The sequence below is a fragment of the Homo sapiens genome, chromosome 4 (assembly GCF_000001405.40).
Source record: "Homo sapiens chromosome 4, GRCh38.p14 Primary Assembly".
Classification (NCBI taxonomy): domain Eukaryota; kingdom Metazoa; phylum Chordata; class Mammalia; order Primates; family Hominidae; genus Homo; species Homo sapiens.
Genome location: NC_000004.12, coordinates 18,823,322 through 18,842,717, shown reverse-complemented (window position 1 = coordinate 18,842,717; position 19,396 = coordinate 18,823,322). Strand labels below are relative to the sequence as shown.

Below are 19,396 nucleotides of genomic sequence, written 5' to 3'. Positions count from 1 at the left end.
CGCTTGAGGTGTGCCTGATCCAGCAAGAGCCTCACATGGAGCTTGTGTGTGCACCACTGCCTGGAGCTGCCCACACCGCCACAGCAGCTGGAGTGCAGGGCTGTGCACTGTGGCCGAACCTCACACTTGCTCATTCACACACTCTTCGCCCACTGTACCTAGCTTGCCATTGATGGGCATGGGATCCAGGCCGGTAGTGCAAGCTGAGTGCAGCCTCCTGGGCTGAGTAGGTGAAGCAAGCCCAGCATGCACCAGTGAAACTCAAGCAGAGGCACCACTGGCCATAGAGGTTTCCAGCTGGTGAAGTGGCACCTAAAGAATCCTGTGGCATGAGGACAGGAGAGGATGAAATGAGATGTTTGGCTCAATCAGTCAGGCCAGATAAAAAAGGGCACATTTTGTGTCCCAGTCAAGTTGATGTATAAAATTAGCCATAAGAAATGAGTTCATGTGCACTGAATGATGTGTGACCTGCATGCAGTAGGAAACATGGGCGTGAGATTTACCTTGACTCTCCAACCATCACTGAGGGCCACCATGAAAACTGAGGGCTAAATAAAACAATGGCTATGAGCTAGTTGTCTGGTGTAGTGGATAAACATGGCTTCACACCAGAAATCAGAACAAGTCACAGGCATACTCTGGTGCCAATCTTTAATATCCTGCGAAAGAAATGTTTTGGGCTACCACCATAAAATCTGATCTGACAACAGAAGTAGATGGATGAATAAGAATAAAGAGGCCACTCCAAATTTGCTAAACATGAGCATGAACATGTACAGGAAACATAAGAAAGAAACTCTCTGTCACAATGTTCTACTGTGAGATATCATTGTAGGGGGAAGATTGGCTAAATTCCAAGGATCTATCAGGTCCCTCAAAGCCCAGTCCAAATCAATATTCTTTAAGAAGTCTCCCCTCTTTACCAAACCCCATTCTCCTCTGAATTGTGTAGGGTATGACAACACTGTAGTTAAGAGGGTGCTCTCTGGAGAGACAACGGTTTAAATCCCTGCTCTACTGGAGAACCTTGGCAATGTTGCTCAAGCAGTGCCTCAGTTTCTGCATTTGTGAAATGGACCTAGTGATAGTACCTATTGCATAGAGTTGTGACAATTCCATGAGTTAACTCATACAACACACTGAGAGCAAGACTGGGTTCATAGTAAACACTCAACAGAGAGCTATTGCTTTTACTTTGCATAGTTGTCCCTATAATGATAAACTGTGATTATCATAGAAAATTTTGTTTCTATCAGACACATGTTTTTCAATAGTAGGAACCTCTCTCACGTATCTCTGAAGTGAAATGGTTAGGTAGACAGAGTAGGCGGTTAATGCAGTCATTCTGACTTAAAACATTAAAAGAAAGTGAACTGTGAAAAAGATATTTTAAAACACTCTAATGCTTTGGAAAAAACACTGGACAAGGAGAAAGAAGACGTAACTTTTTTCCTAATGTTGTCCCTAATAAAGTGTAAGGTATGAGACAAGCCATGCTTCCTCTGCAAGACTCTGCTTTCTCATCAGTAATATGGGCACATTGATCTATGAGACTTCTTAGATCCTTTTAGACTCTAAGATTTTAGGAATCTATGTATTATGCAACTAAATTGATGTGCTCAGAGACCCTGAAGTGGGTTATGCCACTCTTACGTAAAACTTTCAGGGCAGTGGATTAAAAAATGATGTAATGTCGGAGTCTAGAAAAGTTTGATATTTAAGGAAAAAATAATATAGTCAGGTTCTATTTAATCTCATAACTTATACTTGGCTTGTATCTATTCGTTTTTGAAAAGTTGTGTAAAGGGCAGAAAAGTTTTCTAACTTCATGGGGCTTATAATTTACTAGGGAAGCAGAAGAAATAAAATAAACAAATAATAAAATAACTGTGCACTGGGATACATGCTGTGAAGGAAGCAAGGCCTTCGAGTGAGGCATCATGGCATTGTGGTGAGGGAACACGGGGGTCAGGAGACTCTGCTTTGAGTTGCTGACATTCAGCTGAGATCTGAGCCTGCAAGGAAAAAGTAACCAGAGGAAGGCTTTCAGGCAACAAACTCTGCCAACACTAAAACCACAAGAGTAGAAAGATGTCACCATACTGGAGGGCCTTAAAAGGGTTCAGCTGGCTGGAATAAAAAAGTAAGATAGAGGCACAAAAGAAGCCTGGTGGGAGCTGCAGTCCTGTAGTGCACGGCTAAATAAATGATTGTATTTAACTTCACTGATAGGGATTTTTGAGCAGAAAAATTATTGCAAAGATGAATTTCTTTGTAGATGTCAAATGCTTTTTCTAAGTGCCTTTCATTTATTAACTAATTTAATCCTCACAACCACCTTATGAGATGGAAACTGTTAGTACCTCATTTTACAGACAAGGAAACTAGGCAAAGAGAGTGTTGTTAACTTGCTATAGATCACACTGCTAATAAGTTTCCAAGCCATCTTCATTCCTGTGCATACTGGCTACAAAGCCTATGCTCTTAAACAATGTCCCATACCAGTATGTTTCATAACGTGGAGGTTTCAGGTACTTGATTTGTGTAAACTAAAAATGTTCTAAATGAGATTTTAATTTTTTCATTTCCTTACCTTATGAGAAGGACTGCTTGACGTGATACAATGGCATACAGTATTTGTGAATTCCGTAAGACCAACTCCTTCAAAATAATAAGTACACATTGTAAAAAAAAAAAAAAAAAAAAAAAAAAAAACAGCCTAGTGAGCAAGGGGGCTGCTGATGACCTTTGAAACACTGATTTTAAAGAAAAATATATCTCATGACACATTTAGCCTGTGTCTTTAGTCTCAGTTAGTGAAATTAACCACATCATAAGTTTAATTGATATTATTCTGAACAATTTGAAATAATTGCTGGCAGAGATGCTGAAAGTTCTTTGTGCCTAAGTTTTCAAACCTATGAGATTTGGGAGCTTATATATTGATGTGTAAAGATAAGCAGATTGGTAGTTTAGATAGAGGAAGAAAGAGGGAGAATAGTGATAGTCAGAAAATAGAGATAATCGGTATCAGAAGAGAAGTTACCTAAAATACTGCTGTTGTTAATAAGCTACATAAACAAAAAAAAAAATGGAAATTAACATATGTATTTTTTGACCTGCGTGCCGGTTGCTGTTCCGCGTACTTTATGTGAATTCTTTAAATCTTTTCAACATTTTCATGAAGTACGTAAAATTATCTGTATTTTACAAATGAGGACACAGAGGCACAGAGAAATTCAGTAACTTTTTCAAGATGAAAGAATTAGTAAATAGTGGTGTCAGGATTCACACCCATCCAGTTTGTCTGCCCTCAGGTTCTGTTCTCCTAACTACTACCTGATACTTGATACTTCTCCTTGTGCATGTGCACATTTTCTTTCTTTTTTCTTTTTTTTTGAGACAGAGTCTCACTCTGTCACCCAGGCTGGAGGGCAATGGCACGATCTCCGCTCCCTGCATCCTCTGCCTCCCCGGTTCCAGCGATTCTCCTGCCTCAGCCTCCCGAGTAGCTGGGATTACAGGTGCCTGCCACCACGCCCGGCTAATTTTCGTATTTTTAGTAGAGATGGGGTTTCACCATGTTGGCCACGCTGGTCTCGAACTCCTGACCTCAGGTGATCTGCCCGGCTCGGCCTCCGAAAGTGCTGGGATTACAGGCCTAAGCCACCGCACCTGGCCTCACATCTTAATTAGCTCTTTATTACTGTCAAGAATGATTCATATTCCTTTTGTTTTTTTTTTCCTAACCCTACTAGATACAGTGTAGTGACACTGAATAATATTTCTGATAGCTGTCAATGAGACTAACAAATTAACATGGAAAAAAATGTCAATTTCCTCTTGACTGGAGGAAATCCTTGAAATAACATTTTATCTCACTTCCCTTAATTTGTGTTTTAAAAGCCAGGCCAAGGCAGCTGGGAAGAAATCAGCTTTTAAGAAGGCATCCTAACTTAGGCACCCACATCTTCTGTTCCCACAAGACTTTCTGCTGCCCCTGCTGCTCTATCTACAGTCAATGAATGGATGTCTAACAGCCTTGATGGACTTCCCAGTCCATATCTGCTCTTGAGTTGCTTCCAGTGTATCTGACAACAGAGTGGCCAAACTTCCATAATATGTATAGGCCCCTGAGGAGAATAAAGCCATTGAGACCCAGATTTGTTAGCAAAACACCCACTTTGTTTTGATAACACCCTGGGTATATCCACTACAGAACAACCACATCCGAAACATCACCATTATTCATGATTATACTTCTTTCATATACTATTGGGTAAGTGATTGAGTGTAGCAGTTGTTTCTTATTTGTTTCAGAAAACTTCTAGATTTTTTTCTATAGGAAAGATGTAATTAAAAACATAATTATTTACCTCTCTTTTAAGTGTGTCTTCTATATGAACCTTTGTATGAGAAAAGTCTTTTTTTTAGTTAATTGCTAAAGAAGCTTCAATTTTATGTTTTCTTTCATGGAAAATCAAAGCAGATAGAACTGATCATCTTTCTGCATTCATCTTCATTTTTTATGGCTACTGGAAAACTCAAAGCCAATTACCTCTTTCCTTCTTTACTTTCTTTCTTTATTTCATCTATGTAGTCCAGGAAAAAAAGATTTTATTAAATATTTAGTGAATGAGTGAATGAAGGCAGGAAGATACTATAGCTATAGATGAACCTCCTTTACTCAGCATCTTGAAACAATGTGTCACTGAGTAGCAAATAGGCCATATGAGAGAATATGGTTTTATTGATGCAAAATCATCTGTACAATTGGAAGCAAATGCAATGTTTATAATGTATCAATATTTTCCTCCTAAGAGAAAAACATTGTAACTTTTTTTTAGTATAACAAAGTAAGGCCAAATAATTAAATAAAACAATGCACATGGCTTTGGCAGGCTATATAACCAAGAAAGAACATCTAATCAATGACATACTAAAGTGGCTATACAACAATATACATCAGTCTTTGGAAAAATTCTGGCTTTACCCGCACCTCAAATATAACACTGTCCACAAAAAACATCTACTAAAATATATTTACTTCCTGCTATTTTCCCTGCAGTGAACAGCTATTGTCTAACATCCTCTGTTCCCTGGGGAAATGGCTTCTTCCTTGCTTTATTAATTTGATTTGTGTGGAAATGCTACCCACAGCATCCACCACTTCTGGGGAGAAAAGTTGACTTTAACCTAGTGAATTGCAACAGCTCGTTTTACTAACCAGAGTGTTTGATCCAGGGCTGGGCACATGAACCATATCCAGTCAGCGAGACCTACTGTTGGGTTACTCAGTTTGGAACTAGAATTAAAAAGATTATAAAGCTAAAAAAGTGTAATTTTGAAGCTACTTATTGTCATCTTCTCCAGTATGTAGAAAAGAATGATCAGGAGAAAGAGAGAGAAAGAGAGAGAAAGAGAGAGAGACAGAGAGAGAGAGAGACAGAGAGAGAAAAGAAGAAGAAGAAGAAGAAGAAGAAGAAGAAGAAGAGGAAGAGGAAGAGGAAGAAGAAGAAGAAGAAGAAGAAGAAGAAGAAGAAGAAGAAGAAGAAGAAGAAGAAGAAGAGGAAGAAGAAGAAGAAAAAGAAGAAGAAGAAGAAGAACAACAACAACAGCAGCAGGAGGAGGAGGAGGTAGAAAAGGAATCAGAAAAAGACTTCATGACCTCATTTGAATAATTTGTCTCATTCATGATTGGAGTCAGCTTTACCTCTGAACTCAGATCGAGCTAGTGTTTCCACACTTGTAGCTGTAAATGTTCCAATACCAGTATATTCCGGCTAGCATTCTTTCTCCGACCATGAAAATCTATTGAACTACCTGCTACTTCCAGGTCATAATTTTTTTGAAACATACACCCTGCATACTCAACACTTTTGCACATATACCCTCTATTTTGGTTGTTCATTGCTATGTGAAACCACCCTCAAAACATTGGGGCTTTTAATAATCATTTATTTTGCTCATATTTTTGAGGATTATTAATTTAGGAAGGGCCCAATTCCATGCTTCAGCTAAGGTGGAAGGAGCTGGAAGACATACTTTCAAGACAGCTTCTTCATGCACACCTGGGGCCTCACACTGAGGCTCTTGGCCTCTCCTACTCAGTGTGATGTCTCACTCTCCAGAGTCTTCCCAATGGCTCAGGATTCTCACAACATGAGGGGCTCAGGTAGGTGCAATTCTGAGGTGGCTTTCAAGAGGGAACATCTAAAAGCCAAGAGTTCAAAGAGGCCCAGAAGAAAGCCATAGATTTCTTAGGATCAAGCCTCAGAAGTCACACAGCAACAATTCTGCCACATTCTATTAACCAAGAGTAAATCCAAGAGCAAGTCCAGACCCAATGGTTGGGGATTACACAAGGACAGGAATACTGTGAGGTATGACTATGGATGTGGGGAAGGCAGGGGAAAGATCTTCAGCGACCAGCTACCATCCATCCCCATCTCTCTGGAATGATATGTCCTTGTTCTCCTGGTTACTCCCACACATCTCTAGGTTCTAAGCATGAGTATTCTCTTCTCTAAGAAGTCTTTCTTTCTTCATATGTATGTGGGCAAAACTTGTATGCAGATCTTTCAGAGCCTGTGTAATATCCCCTTGTAGCAGGACTTATAAGTCATCTCTGTACTAGACATGAAACACCATGGGAAAATTAAAGATGTCTTAATTCATCTTTATGTCTGTGATCTTAACTTATAGCTGGTGCTTAGTAAATGCTGGCAGGGTGAACAAGCATGTACATGTCAACACATTCACTCCTGAGGCTGAGAAAAATAGCAATGGATGGATCCAAGTGGAATTCTTGTTCCCAGAGAATTTTCTGGGTCAGGACTATGTCAGTTTGTGGACCATCCCCCTCCCATAAAATATCCACACAGGATGTCAACTAATATCAGGGTGTAATGAATTGATTCAGCCTAAAGTTGCCAAAGCAACTGATGTCAAAGTGTTTCAGGATCTTGTTAGCTCCATAAGTGTAAAGCTTTGTCTTTCTCATACACTTCAAGCAAACTTGTGAAGTCATACATTTATCTGCATATACAGGTCCACAAAAATGTAGGGCAAGATGAAATGCAGCTGAGATTGAGGCAGAGGGAAGTTATTTTTACATGATTTCTCTAATTTGATATTTCATAATACTCACTGAGTCTCCATTTGACTGTGAGCTATGCAAATGATGTCTTTACTTAGGGTGCATTACACAGCCTCCTATAAATGATAAGATGTAAACTAAAACAAGCAAAATATAAACACTTGCATTTAAGCTTAAATAACTGTAAGGGTGAGTGCCCATACCAGTTATAAGAGAAAATTGGATTATTCCAAGCTTCCTTTCTTTCACCTTACTTAGTTTAAGCATAAGAAGTGTTAGTTAAAATTCTGTTCTTTTTCTTCAATGTTCTATTTTTTCTCTTTTATAAAGAACAAGAAAGGGACTTACCCAAAAAATCACCAAAAAGTTCAAAAGAAAAAAAAGAGAAAATAATTGAATGCTGAAATCAGGAAAGACAACACATTCTTAGAAATAAGCCAATAGAAAGCCTACTTCAGGATATATCAATGAGTTGAATGCAGATTCCACAGTACCTTAGAAAAAAATTTGTTGGATATATATATTTTTTAAATCTGCTTGTCCCATTCTGCTGTTCAGCTGTTAGTGTCTAGGTACAGTTCAGTGTAACATTCAACATAATAAGACAAAGCAATGAATACACAGATCTATTTAGAGAATGGAAAAATATAACTAAAACAAAGCCTGAAGTACAGTATAGGGAACCAGTGTGTTTAATGAAGCTGTTTGATAATTACCAAGATGTTCCAGGCACAAAGCAAGACCTGCAATGTAACCTTCTTGGAGGCTTATTAACTTGGCACATGTGGCAGACAGGAGATTGCCTGTTCCTAGACTGGCTGACTGAAACAATTTTATTAATATCACTCTTCAGAAAGGAGGGTCAGCACTTCCCATCAAAGCCTCTCCTTGAACATTAGAAATGGGTCACTTGTGTCCAAAGTTTTTGAAAATTACAAACCAGAATGTGGATCCCCCAAAATGTGATATTGGAGTATGGATATTAACCAGGAGATGCAAAACATTTTCTGTAGAAGGCCTCATTGTAAATATTTTAGGTTTTTTTGGCAATGTGGTCTCTGTTACAACTACTTGACTGTCTTGTAGCCAGAAAGCAGCCAAAAGCAACATGTCTGCAAATTGGCGTGGCTGTGTTCCAGTAAAACTTTATGTATAATCATGGAAATTTGAATTTCATTTAATTTTCACATGTCACAAAATATTATTCAACAATTTTAAGATATAAAAACATTCTTAGCTTGCAGAACATACAAAAGCAGGTGGTAGGCTGGATTTTGTCCATTGTCTGTAGTTTGCTGATCCTTGATCTAGACTACCTCAAGTTAGTAACAGAATTAAAGGATCAATTCTTCTTGTGTGTCCATGTGTCCAAAATATTAGCTAGAGTTATGTTACCTTACCTTGTCTTTAGATCTATTTGGCTTGGACCATGCTACAGTATGGATATCTGGCCCCTCCAAATCTCACGTTGAAATCTGATCTCCAGTGTTGAAGACATGGCCTAATGGGATCATGATGTGGACCCCTCATGAATAGATGAATGCCCTCCTGAGGGAGGATGAGTGAGTTCCCATTCTTATTAGTTCCCACAAGAGCTGGTTGTTAAAAAGAGCCTGGTGCCTCCTTCCCTCTCTCTTGTTTTCTCTCTCACCAAGTGATCTCTCCCTGCACTGGCTCCCCTTCACTTTCACCTTCTTACATGAGTGAAAGCAGCCTCAGGTTTTCACCAGATGCCAGATTTTCAGCCAGCAGAATCATGAGACAAATACAACTTTTCCTTTATAAATTAATCAATCTCAGGTATTCCTTTGTAGCAACACAAATGGACCAAGACCACTATTCCACAAGGTGCAAAGCTAAAGATGAAAGTCTTTATAGCTCTCTCTCTCTCTGTCTTACTCTATTCTTTTCCTTTTCCCCTAACCCACACTTATTTTTTTTTTTTCACCTATACCCATCCCTGAGTTTCAATCCAGGTATAACATAGTATGGTTTGGCAATATCTTTTGTTGACCTGCATTTGCTAACATTTTTAAACAATGAGAAAAAATTACAAGAATAGGAATACTTTGTGATGTGTTAAAATTATATAAAATTAAAATTTCTGTGACCATAAATAAGACTTTTTTGGAATATAGCCCATGCCAACTTGTTTAGATATTGTTCATGTCATGGCTGCTAACTTTACCCATTTGAAGGTCAGCTTACAGAAGTGGTAACAAGTGAAACAAAATAATAATAGTGAACATTTATTAAGTTGTTTTTATGCTAGACACTTTTCTGAGTGATTTACCCATAATTACTAACTTGTAGACAATGATGCTTCCTTCCTAGTATGGTTTAGGTACCACAATTTTAGATAATTTTTCTCAACTTTCAATAGTCTAATTGTGTTTTTCTAATCACTCTATTCACAAAGCTATTGAATTGATGTAGAGTTTTGGCACAAACTTGTTTACTTACTTTTCTTTCCTGTTATAAATATTATACATAAATATTCTCAAAATAACTACATTTATGAAACATAAGCAGTCCTGAAAGCTAAGAGGTTAATCTTGAGAATTTAGCTGTTATAATTATAGTCACATTTCACAGATGAGGAAGTTCAAGCCCAAATACGTTAATTCTGGTCCTATAAGCAATAGATGTAAGATAGAATTATATATGCAAGATAAGAAATTACCTGTGAGAAAAATATGGAGGTAAAGGAGAGACTGGGGCAGCCTCCAGACCATAATGCAGATCTCAGCCCTGTGGATGGGAGAGAAGGACAAGAGACTGGGTAAGAAAAGTCATAGACTGTGCAATTCTTAGTAAGTTTTAGTAGAGCCTATAAGGAGATCATGAGCCAAAGTTGTGCCTCAAAGTAAGCATTCAGTTCCCAGGAGCATGTCTGTCCTTGCATCCCTTCCACATTCAGTTTTTGGCTATGATCAGCCTGGAGATGTGACCTCAGTATGAATGTGGGGGTAGATTTCAGAGCTTGGCAGAGGGGCGCATCTGTCAGTTGGGCTTCCTGCAGTTGCAGATCTGAGAGCCATGTTCTCTTGCCTTCCATGCTTAGGATGTTGAGTTCCATGCTCAAGATCTATGGGTTCCTTAGAGTATGGACAGAATTAGAAATGAGGCTGTCAGATTTTCATTCCAAAAACCACAATGTCCAATCATGCCTTTACCCAATGATTGGCCCCATTTTGAGCTAGTTCCTCATCAGTGTATTTATTCTCACTCTTTCATTATCAAGCATCTTAATAATGTAAGAGTAATGACTGCAGTCAGGCCAATGCTTTGTTGAGGCAATGAGTGATCGAGTGTTAATATGGAAAGATCTCGAAGTATAAAATAAAAATACTAAATCATAAAGGTTGATAATGAGTTAACTTTTAGAGCATGCAAGGGATTAAAACAAGTTCAGGCATTACTGAAATAAAGAAAGTATATTTATTGTGTGTAAGAGTATTGGGGGATCACTTACCTGCCTGGAATAATCTTTTCTGACTCCTCATGTGGCTTGCTCCTTGTCATTCCTGGCTAGCAAGGATGATATTTGTGGCTGCCTATTGTACTCAAGTTGCCTAGAAAAACACAGAAACACCAAAGCTTATATACTAATACATCATTGGGGTTTTCATTCCAGGACATCAAGAAAGAGTGAAAGCAAAGCAAGGCAGGAAAGAAGGGTAGACCAGACCAAGTATATGGCCATAGCAATTTCCTTTACCACTTTCTTAATGCAGAGATCTGGCCACTAGTTCCTGATAATATATCTCCTCACACTGCTTTCAGGCCCATTCTCATCTGGAATAAGTGCCAGGCATTGGTATGGCCTGTGTCTTCCCCTTTTTATCATGAGCCAGGACTTCCAGTGAAAAGGTTTAACCTTATTGAATTTATGAAGACTCTGGCTTTCCCAGATATAGGAGGCACTGAGTAACACCACCCATAATATGGGGAAGTTACTGTCCCTTGGGCAAAAGTAGACCAATGAAAAACAAGAGGTGAAAAGCACCTGACAAATCTCTCCCTTGCTTTTCCTAAGACTGTTTCAAAACACAGTGTGTCCATGTGGCTTCTCTAATCCACGTGATCCATTCCATAAGATTCTGGTGCTATGTTTGCAGGGAGGCCGTGGCCATTTGGTAATGTGCCAACTTGGTTTGCTTTCTCCTTTTCTTGCTATACTTACCTTTTTTTCTCACTCTTGCTAACCAGAGGTTATGTCCTTAATAAAGCGTGAGCACATCAACATCACCTCAAGTTCTATTATTTTCAAATCCCAGGTTAAGATAGAGACAGAGCAAAACCATGTTATCAATAGGCCTCATAATCAAACACAATCAGGCATGTTGTCACACAAAATACTTCAGGCAGAGAGCTTGGAACCCTCGTGCTTCCAAAGAAGGTCTCTGGAGGAGGAAGGGAAGGAATCTGTTGACTCTTTCTGGTCTCCTATCTTTCATTAGTCAAGAATCGCCCCATTGGGCAACGACTCCCATATTTCTGGGTTGTGTTACTACCTCTCAGGTAGGTACTAGGAAGCCACATTCCATACTCTGTGGCCCACTGCTTTATTTGAATCTGGAAGGGGTAGAAGAAGCAAGAGCCTGAATGGACCTGGCCTGGCTGGGCTTTAGATGCCAGAGCTATTGTGGACTCCCCACACCAGGCACAATGAAAGCCATGCTGCTGCCTACATCTCACCCCAGGGGAAGCCCAGGCAGCCTGCACAACTAGCAGATAGTGTAACACCAGCAACTATCAGGGCTTTCTATGGAGGGAGAGAACTGGTCTCAGGAGGCAGGTGGGTTCAAGCAAATCTGGGGCAGGGCATGATCTGAGTCTGATATCCCAAAGGTAAATCCCCTCCTGTTATTTTTCTGTTCATTATTTTTATAGTACTATCACAATCGGCAATTATTTATTTTTGAGTTTTCTACTTGTTTACTTTTGATTTTCCTTAGTAGACTGTAAAATATTTTGAAGGATAAAATTACGATGATTCTGCTCAACCTTATATATCAAGCAGTTAGCACAGTAGCTGACATAGAGTTGGTAATTGTAATATGCATTGAAACAAGGAGCAAGGAAGAAAAAGAGGGACACAGAGGAAAGGAGGAATGGAAGGAAGGCAAAAACTGATTAAAAACAAGAAACAGAGAAATGCTGCTGCTACATAAAGCTGTAAATGACATCATTATAAATAATTTTTCATAGGTTCTTGGAATCAGACAGTTCTGAATTCATGTTCAAGCCCCACCAACTAACTAGTATACATAAAAATCTTTCCTAAGCAACAAAATTAACTTTCAAGATGATTTTAAACATTTTTAAAGAGAATGAATAGCATTCCATTTTAATTAAATTATTTACCTAACATTTAAACATAGTAAATAAACAGCTGCAATTCAAACTCAAGTTGATTCCCGAACCTTTCCTCTTCTAACAATGTTGTATTGTAGTTTTCTATCAAACCTGTCTCTTTTTCTTGTGTAGGCAGTTATTTGAAGGTAGTTTTAGCAATAACCAGTATAGGGAATAATTTCCTCAAGGAGTAAAATCTCAGAAGAGGAAACTGAGCCTTAGAGATGTGAAAGGAAATTTCAGAAGAATTCTTGTAGCTTTTCCATGAATTGACATAGTGTCCAACTGCCTATAGATGGAAAAAAAGCGTAACAATATTTTGTACTTTTTTACATCAAAAAAAGGTAACGTTCATCAGTTTTAGAAAATGGGCAAGATGAAAACTGCAATATGAATGGACAGATTCTGATTAGGAGAGTCTAAGGTACTTGAGAAGGAAAAAGCATCTTTATAGTTCCTTGGAAGGGGGAAGGATGGCGGGGAGGCAACATCCCTCTTTCTACACTGCCCCATGCTTCTTCCCCTTCCCATTTAGAATATGACAGAAGCCAGTCTGAAGGCCCCCATATGCTAACAAAGCAGAAAGACAAACTATCCAGGGAGGTCAAGCACTCAGGAAGTAGAAAATCAAGCAGAGTGATCACAACATCGACTCAGTGAAAGAGAACAGCTGAGGCTTTAAATGAAAACTTGAGTAAAAATATGATCAGAGCACTTAGGAGAAAAGTATCTTCCGACATGTACTTTGGAGTTTAAAAATAATCATGATTTTTCCATTAAGCAATCAGTAGACTACTATTAAAAGCTTTATTATTGACCTAGAAGAACAAGTGAGAAAAATATCCAAAAGGACAGAACAAAATATAAAAACCTGAAACACTGGAGAAAAAAATGAGACATTTGGAGGCCAGATCCCTACTGTCCATGATAGACACACAGTAGGACCACTTAGATTTCCTTTGATTGTTCCAGCTATAAGTCCCTTCAGGGTCTGCTGCAGGAGCAGTGACCTACAATACCTCTTCCTCAGAGTGGTCCACATCTAATGACCAATCTACATTGGGGTATAAAGGCCCAAACATTTTGGTCCAACTCTGGACAACTCTGATGGGCCGTGTGTATTTCCAGAGCTCCAGAGAGGGTTGGCAGAGTTTCTGCCAGGCCTTTGACATGAGTCAGTGTCTTTGTGTATCCAACCTTACTTACTTTCTCTCTTTTCCAAAGGAGTTCTCAAAAAACAAACAAACAAAAAACCAAAAAATTCCTGCAGGTCAAACTCCATCTCAGCATCTTCATGGAAAGATGCTACCACATCTGATGCTGAGAGTGTTCTCAGAAAGCAGGTGAGGTATTGGAGATAGCTCACTTGTGTTCAGCTGGCAAAAAGGACAACCTCCTGCTGATAGGTGGGTCATTGTCCGCCGCTGTTACCCAAAGTGGGCACATGTTACCAGAAGACACTGTAAAGGACTCATGGAACCAACAGCTATGACAGTTGCCTGGGCATGCCAGTACCCTTGTGTCCAGGGAACAGAATGGATGGAAAAGAATGACCATCTTGGGAGGGGTCATTGAGTCTTCTTAGCATGGACATGTTGGGCTGTGGTTATAAAATGGGCACAGAGAGGAATATGTGTGGCACCCAGGTGATCCACTAAGGCATATTTTGGTAGTTTCTTGCCCAGTTGTGACTCCTAAAATATAATTTCACAACTAAAAAGTATGAAATAAATATACATTTTATTGCGGAAAAAGAACTGCAATTCAAGAATCTTATCTTCAGCTCATTACATATATACACACGCACATTATATGTGTCTGTATGTATTTGCCACCAGTAAAAAATCTGAAAATTTAATTTTAAAAGTGATATGACTTACTTAAAAATAGATTAAATCTGTGAGAATGTACATTTTTCTTACCATGGAGATAGAATTTAGCACACTAAGACTGTTAACAATTAAAGTTAATAATACTATTGGTAGGAATGTGTACATTTTGAGGTTCAAAAATTTGAAATTGCTTAAATCCTTGATTCTTCTATATAGACTATAATATTTATATTTCAGAGACCATTCTTTCTACAGGGGCTAAAATAATGTAACCTCAGAGAAAAGTCTTCTAAATAAAGATTATTCTCAGTTCTATTTTTTCTATATTAAATCGTGAAAATTAAAACTTTACTATTCTCAGAGGTACTGCTTCTTTTCCTCCATTTAGGGTACATTTCTTCAAATATTTTGATACAAGACTAATCAAATAATTTCCATATTCATACTTTTGATGTTTCAAAATTAGATGCTACAAGCTCAGGCCTCATCAATTTCATTTTACTGTTATTAAATATGAATTGAACCAAGTCACAGTAACAGCTTCAATGAATTTTTTAATCAAGTCAAGATGTTTCAAAGCACAATTAAGAAATTTTAAAATTATATCTTACACATTATTTGAACACCCATTTTTTAATTTATTAAATTCTTACTCTCATTTTTGTTGTAATTAATGTAAATTACTTCCCATATGCAAGCTTTGTTCTCAGTTCAATAAAACTGCCAAAATCTAAAGTTTGGTATAATTTTATTTTTTAAATATTTGATTAATGTATTCCAACGGATTTTGATTTTTAAAACAAGAATTAAGCAGAATTTAGAGGGTTCAGTTACGGCACATAAATATTAATATGATAAATTCCAATGTAGTTCACATCTGGTGGATTTGTAAGTAGTTGTTATAAGACTCAAATTTTTCTAAAATCTAATTGATGATGGACAGCAATGAGAAAACCTGCACATTGATGTATAACTTCTTAGATTTACTTTAATTGCGATAAAATACATATAATGTAAAATTTACCATCTTAACCATTTTTGAGTGCACAGCTTCCAATACTATTAAGTATATTCACATCGTTGTGAAACCAATCTACAATTTTGTTTATCTTGCAAAACTGAAAATCTATAGCCATTAAATAAAAGCTTCCCATTTCCTCCTCCTCCCAGACTTTGGCAACCATCATTCTACTTTTTATCTGTATGAATTTGATTAATCTAGGTACCTCATATTAGTTGAATCATACAACATTTATCTCTCTGTGGCCAGTTTATTTCACTAACATAAATTCTTCAAGGTACATCCATAATGAAACATGCATCAAGATGTCCTTCTTTTCAAGAATGAATAACTTTCATTGATATGCATATATGTACCACATTTTGTTTATCCATTCATCTGTCAATAGAAACTTGGTCTGCTCTGCCTTTTTACTATTGCAAATAATGCAACTATAAACATGAGTGTACAAACATTTCTTTGTAGCCCTACTATCCATTATTTTGGGTATATACCGAAAAGTGGAATTGCTTAATTATATGGTAATTCTATTTTCAATTATTTGAGTAACTGCCTGATATGGTTTGGCTCTGTGTCCTCACTCAAATCTCATTTTGTAGCTCCCATAATTCCCAACTGCTGTGCAAGGGACCCGGTGGGAGATGATTGAATCAGGGGGGCCGGTCTTTCCCGTGCTGTTCTTGTGATAGTGAATGGGTCTCATGAGATCTGATGGTTTTAAAAACGGGAGTTTCTCTGCACAAGCTCTCTTCCTGCCTGCTGACATTCAGGTAAGATGTGACTTGCACTGCCTTGCCTTCTGCCATGACTGTGAGGCCTCCCCAGCCATGTGGAACAGCAAGTCCAATAAACCTCTTCCTTTTGCAAATTGCCCAGTCTGGGGTATGTCTTTATTGGCAGTGTGAAAAGAGACTAATACACTGCCATATTGTTTTCCATAGTGGTTTCACTATTACACATTACCAACAGTACACAAGTGTTCCAATTTCTCCACATCCTCACCAACACTTCTTATTTCCTGGGATTTTTTAAAAAGTTTTTTCTTATTTTTAAGTTTTTGGGTACATAATAGTTATATATATTTATGGGATACATGAGATGTTTTGATACAGGGATGCAATGTGAAATAAGCACATCATAAAATATTTCCTGTGATATTTTTTAGAGTAGTCATCCTTTATTTTATTTTATTTTATTTTAGTTTTAGGTTTTTTTTTATTATACTTTAATTTCTGGGATATATGTGCAGAATGTGCAGGTTTGTCACATAGGTATACACGTGCCATGGTGGTTTGCTGCACCCATCAACCCCTCATCTATCTACATTAGGTATTTCTTCTAATATTATCTGTCCCGTAGCCCCCAACCCCCGACTGACTCCCGTGTGTGATGTTCCCCTCCCTGTGTCCATGCGTTCTCATTGTTCTACTCCCGCTTATGAGTGAAAACATGCGGTGTTTGGTTTTCTGTTCCTGTGCTAGTTTGCTAAGAATGATGGTTTTCAGTATCATCCATGTCCCTGCAAAGAACATGAACTCATCCTAATGGGTCAAAAGTAATATCTTATTTACTATTGTTTTGATTTGCATTTCCCTAATAATTGATAGTGCTGAGCATCTTTTCATGTATATGATGGCCATTTCTATATCTTCTTTGGAAAAATATCTATTCAAGTCCTTTGCTCATTTTTAATTGGGCTGTTTGTTTTTTGTTGTTGAGTTACAAGAGTTGTTGATATATTTTAGATATTAGCTCTCCATATCAGATATATGATTGGTAAATATTGTATCTCATTCCATAGGTTGCCTTTTCACTCTTTTAAGTCTGTCTTTTTTTGTACAGAAGTTTTTAATATTAGTGTAGCTCAATGTATCTATTTTTTACTTTTGTTGCTTATGCTTTTAGTGTTATATCCCAAAAAAGCATTGCCAAATTCAATGATGTGAAGCTTTCCTGTATATTTTCTCCTAAGAGTTTTATAGTTTTAGGTCTTATATTTAAATATTTGATCCATTTTTAGTTAATTGTTGTAAATTGTGTCATGTAAGGATGAAATATGGATATACAGCTTTCTGAGCATCATTTCTTGAAAAGACTGCCCTACCTTCACTGAGGGATTTTGCCATCCTTATCAAAGATCACTACCATATAATTAACAGTTTATTTTGGGTTCTCTACTTTATATCATTGCTCTACATACTTGGTTTTATACCAGTACCACACTGTTTTGATTACTATAGCTGGGTGGTAAGTTTTTAAATTGGGTAGTATGAGACATCCAACTTTTTTTGAAGATTATTTTGCCCATTCAAGACAAAAAAATTGTCACTTAATTGTAATTCAATTTATTTTGTCCAAATTCATATAAACTTTCAAGATTCATATGGACCCTTGAGAATCCATATTAATTTTAGGATATGCTTTAATAATATTTGCCAAAAAAATCAATAACATTTTCATGGGTATTGCATTAAATCTGTAGATCACTTTGAGATGTATGGACAATCTTAACAATATTAACTCTTCCAATCTATAAACATGGAATATCTTTCTATTTATTTGTCTCTTCTTCAATTTTTTAGCAGCATTTTATAGTTTTCAGTGTATATAACTTTGTCTCTTAACTTTTTTTGGCATTTTATTTATTTTTGCTGTTAGCATAATTAGAATTATTTTCTTAATTTATTTCTTTGAATTGTTAATTATTAGTACATCTAGAGTATAGAAATGCAACTAATTTTTGCATGTTGATTTCCTATTCTGCAACTTTGACAAATAAATTTATTCATTCTAACAATTTGTGTGTGTTTCCGTGTGTGTATGAAATCATTACAGTTTTCTACATATATGAACATATCATCTATGAATGAAAATAATTTTGTTTCTTTCTTTTTCATTTCAATTTATTTGTATTTCTTTGTTTTGTCCAATTGTTCTGGCTGGGAATCCCAGTACTATGTTTAGGAGAAGTGGCTAAAATGGGTATCTTTGTCGTCTCCTGTTCTTAGAAAAAAATATTTTAGTCTTTTACTTCTAAGTATATTAGCTATGGGATTGGCATAGATTATCTCTACTATGTTGCTGTAATTTTCTTCTATTCCCAGTTCATTTAGTGTTTTTCTTATAAAAGCATATTTGATTTTGTTAAATACTTTTTCTTCTTCACTTGAGATAAACGTGTTTTGTTTTGTTTTATTCTGATAATGCGGTGCAATATCTTCCTTGATTCTCATATGTTGAATCATCCTTGCACTCGGAATAAAGCCTACTTGGCCATACCATATAATTATTTTAATCTGTTGTTGAATTCAATTTTCTAGCATTTTACTGATGCTTTTGCATTGATACTTGTGTTAGTTTGTTTGCATTGCTATAAAGGCTGGGTAATTTATAAAGATAAGAGGTTTATTTGGCTCATAGTTCTGAAAGCTGTACAGGAAGCTTGACACTGGAATCTTCTCCTGGTGAGGGCCTCAGGAAGCTTCTAATCATGGCATAAGGTGAAGGAAAAGCAGGTGTGTCATATGGCGAGAGAAGAAGCAAGAGAGAGAGAGACGAGCAAGTGCCAGGGTCCTTTTAAACAATCAGCTTTCATATGAATAGAGTGAGAACAGCATCAAGTCATTCATGAGGGATCTACACCCATGATCCGAACACCTCTCACTAGACCCCACTTTCAAAATTGGGGAATCACATATCAACATAAGACTTAGAGGGGACAAAAATCCAAACAATATTATTTTGTCCTGGGTCCCCCAGATCTTATGTTCTTCCCACATTGCAAAATATAATCATCCTTTCCCAATAGTCTCCAAAGTCTTAACTCTTTCCAGCATCAACTCAATCCAAAGTCCAAAGTCCAATGTCTCACCTAAGACTGAAGGAAAATTCCTTCCCCGCATGAACCTGTAAAATCAAAATCAAGTTATTTACTTTCACCACACAATGGTGGTACAGGAATTGAGTAACCATTCCCATTCCAAAAAGGGAGACATTGGCCAAAAGAAAGGGATAACAGGCCCCAAAAGTCTAAAATTCAACAGGGCAGGCATTAAACTTTAAAACAGAAAAATAATTTTG

The 19,396-nt window shown here is 37.3% G+C and overlaps 1 long non-coding RNA gene across 3 annotated transcripts in view; it reads right to left on the bottom strand.

Annotated features, from left to right (window-relative positions):
* Window positions 1-2,753: 2,753 nt before the first annotated feature.
* Window positions 2,754-19,396, bottom strand: part of LOC105374510 (uncharacterized) — a 428,164-nt gene continuing 411,521 nt past the window's right edge. For all 3 annotated transcript variants that reach the window (XR_001741602.2, XR_001741601.2, XR_925445.3), the window contains 2 exons: window positions 10,578-10,677; window positions 2,754-9,853 (listed from right to left, as the gene is read on the bottom strand). This is a non-coding gene — a long non-coding RNA (uncharacterized LOC105374510). The remainder of the gene's footprint in view (window positions 9,854-10,577; window positions 10,678-19,396) is intronic.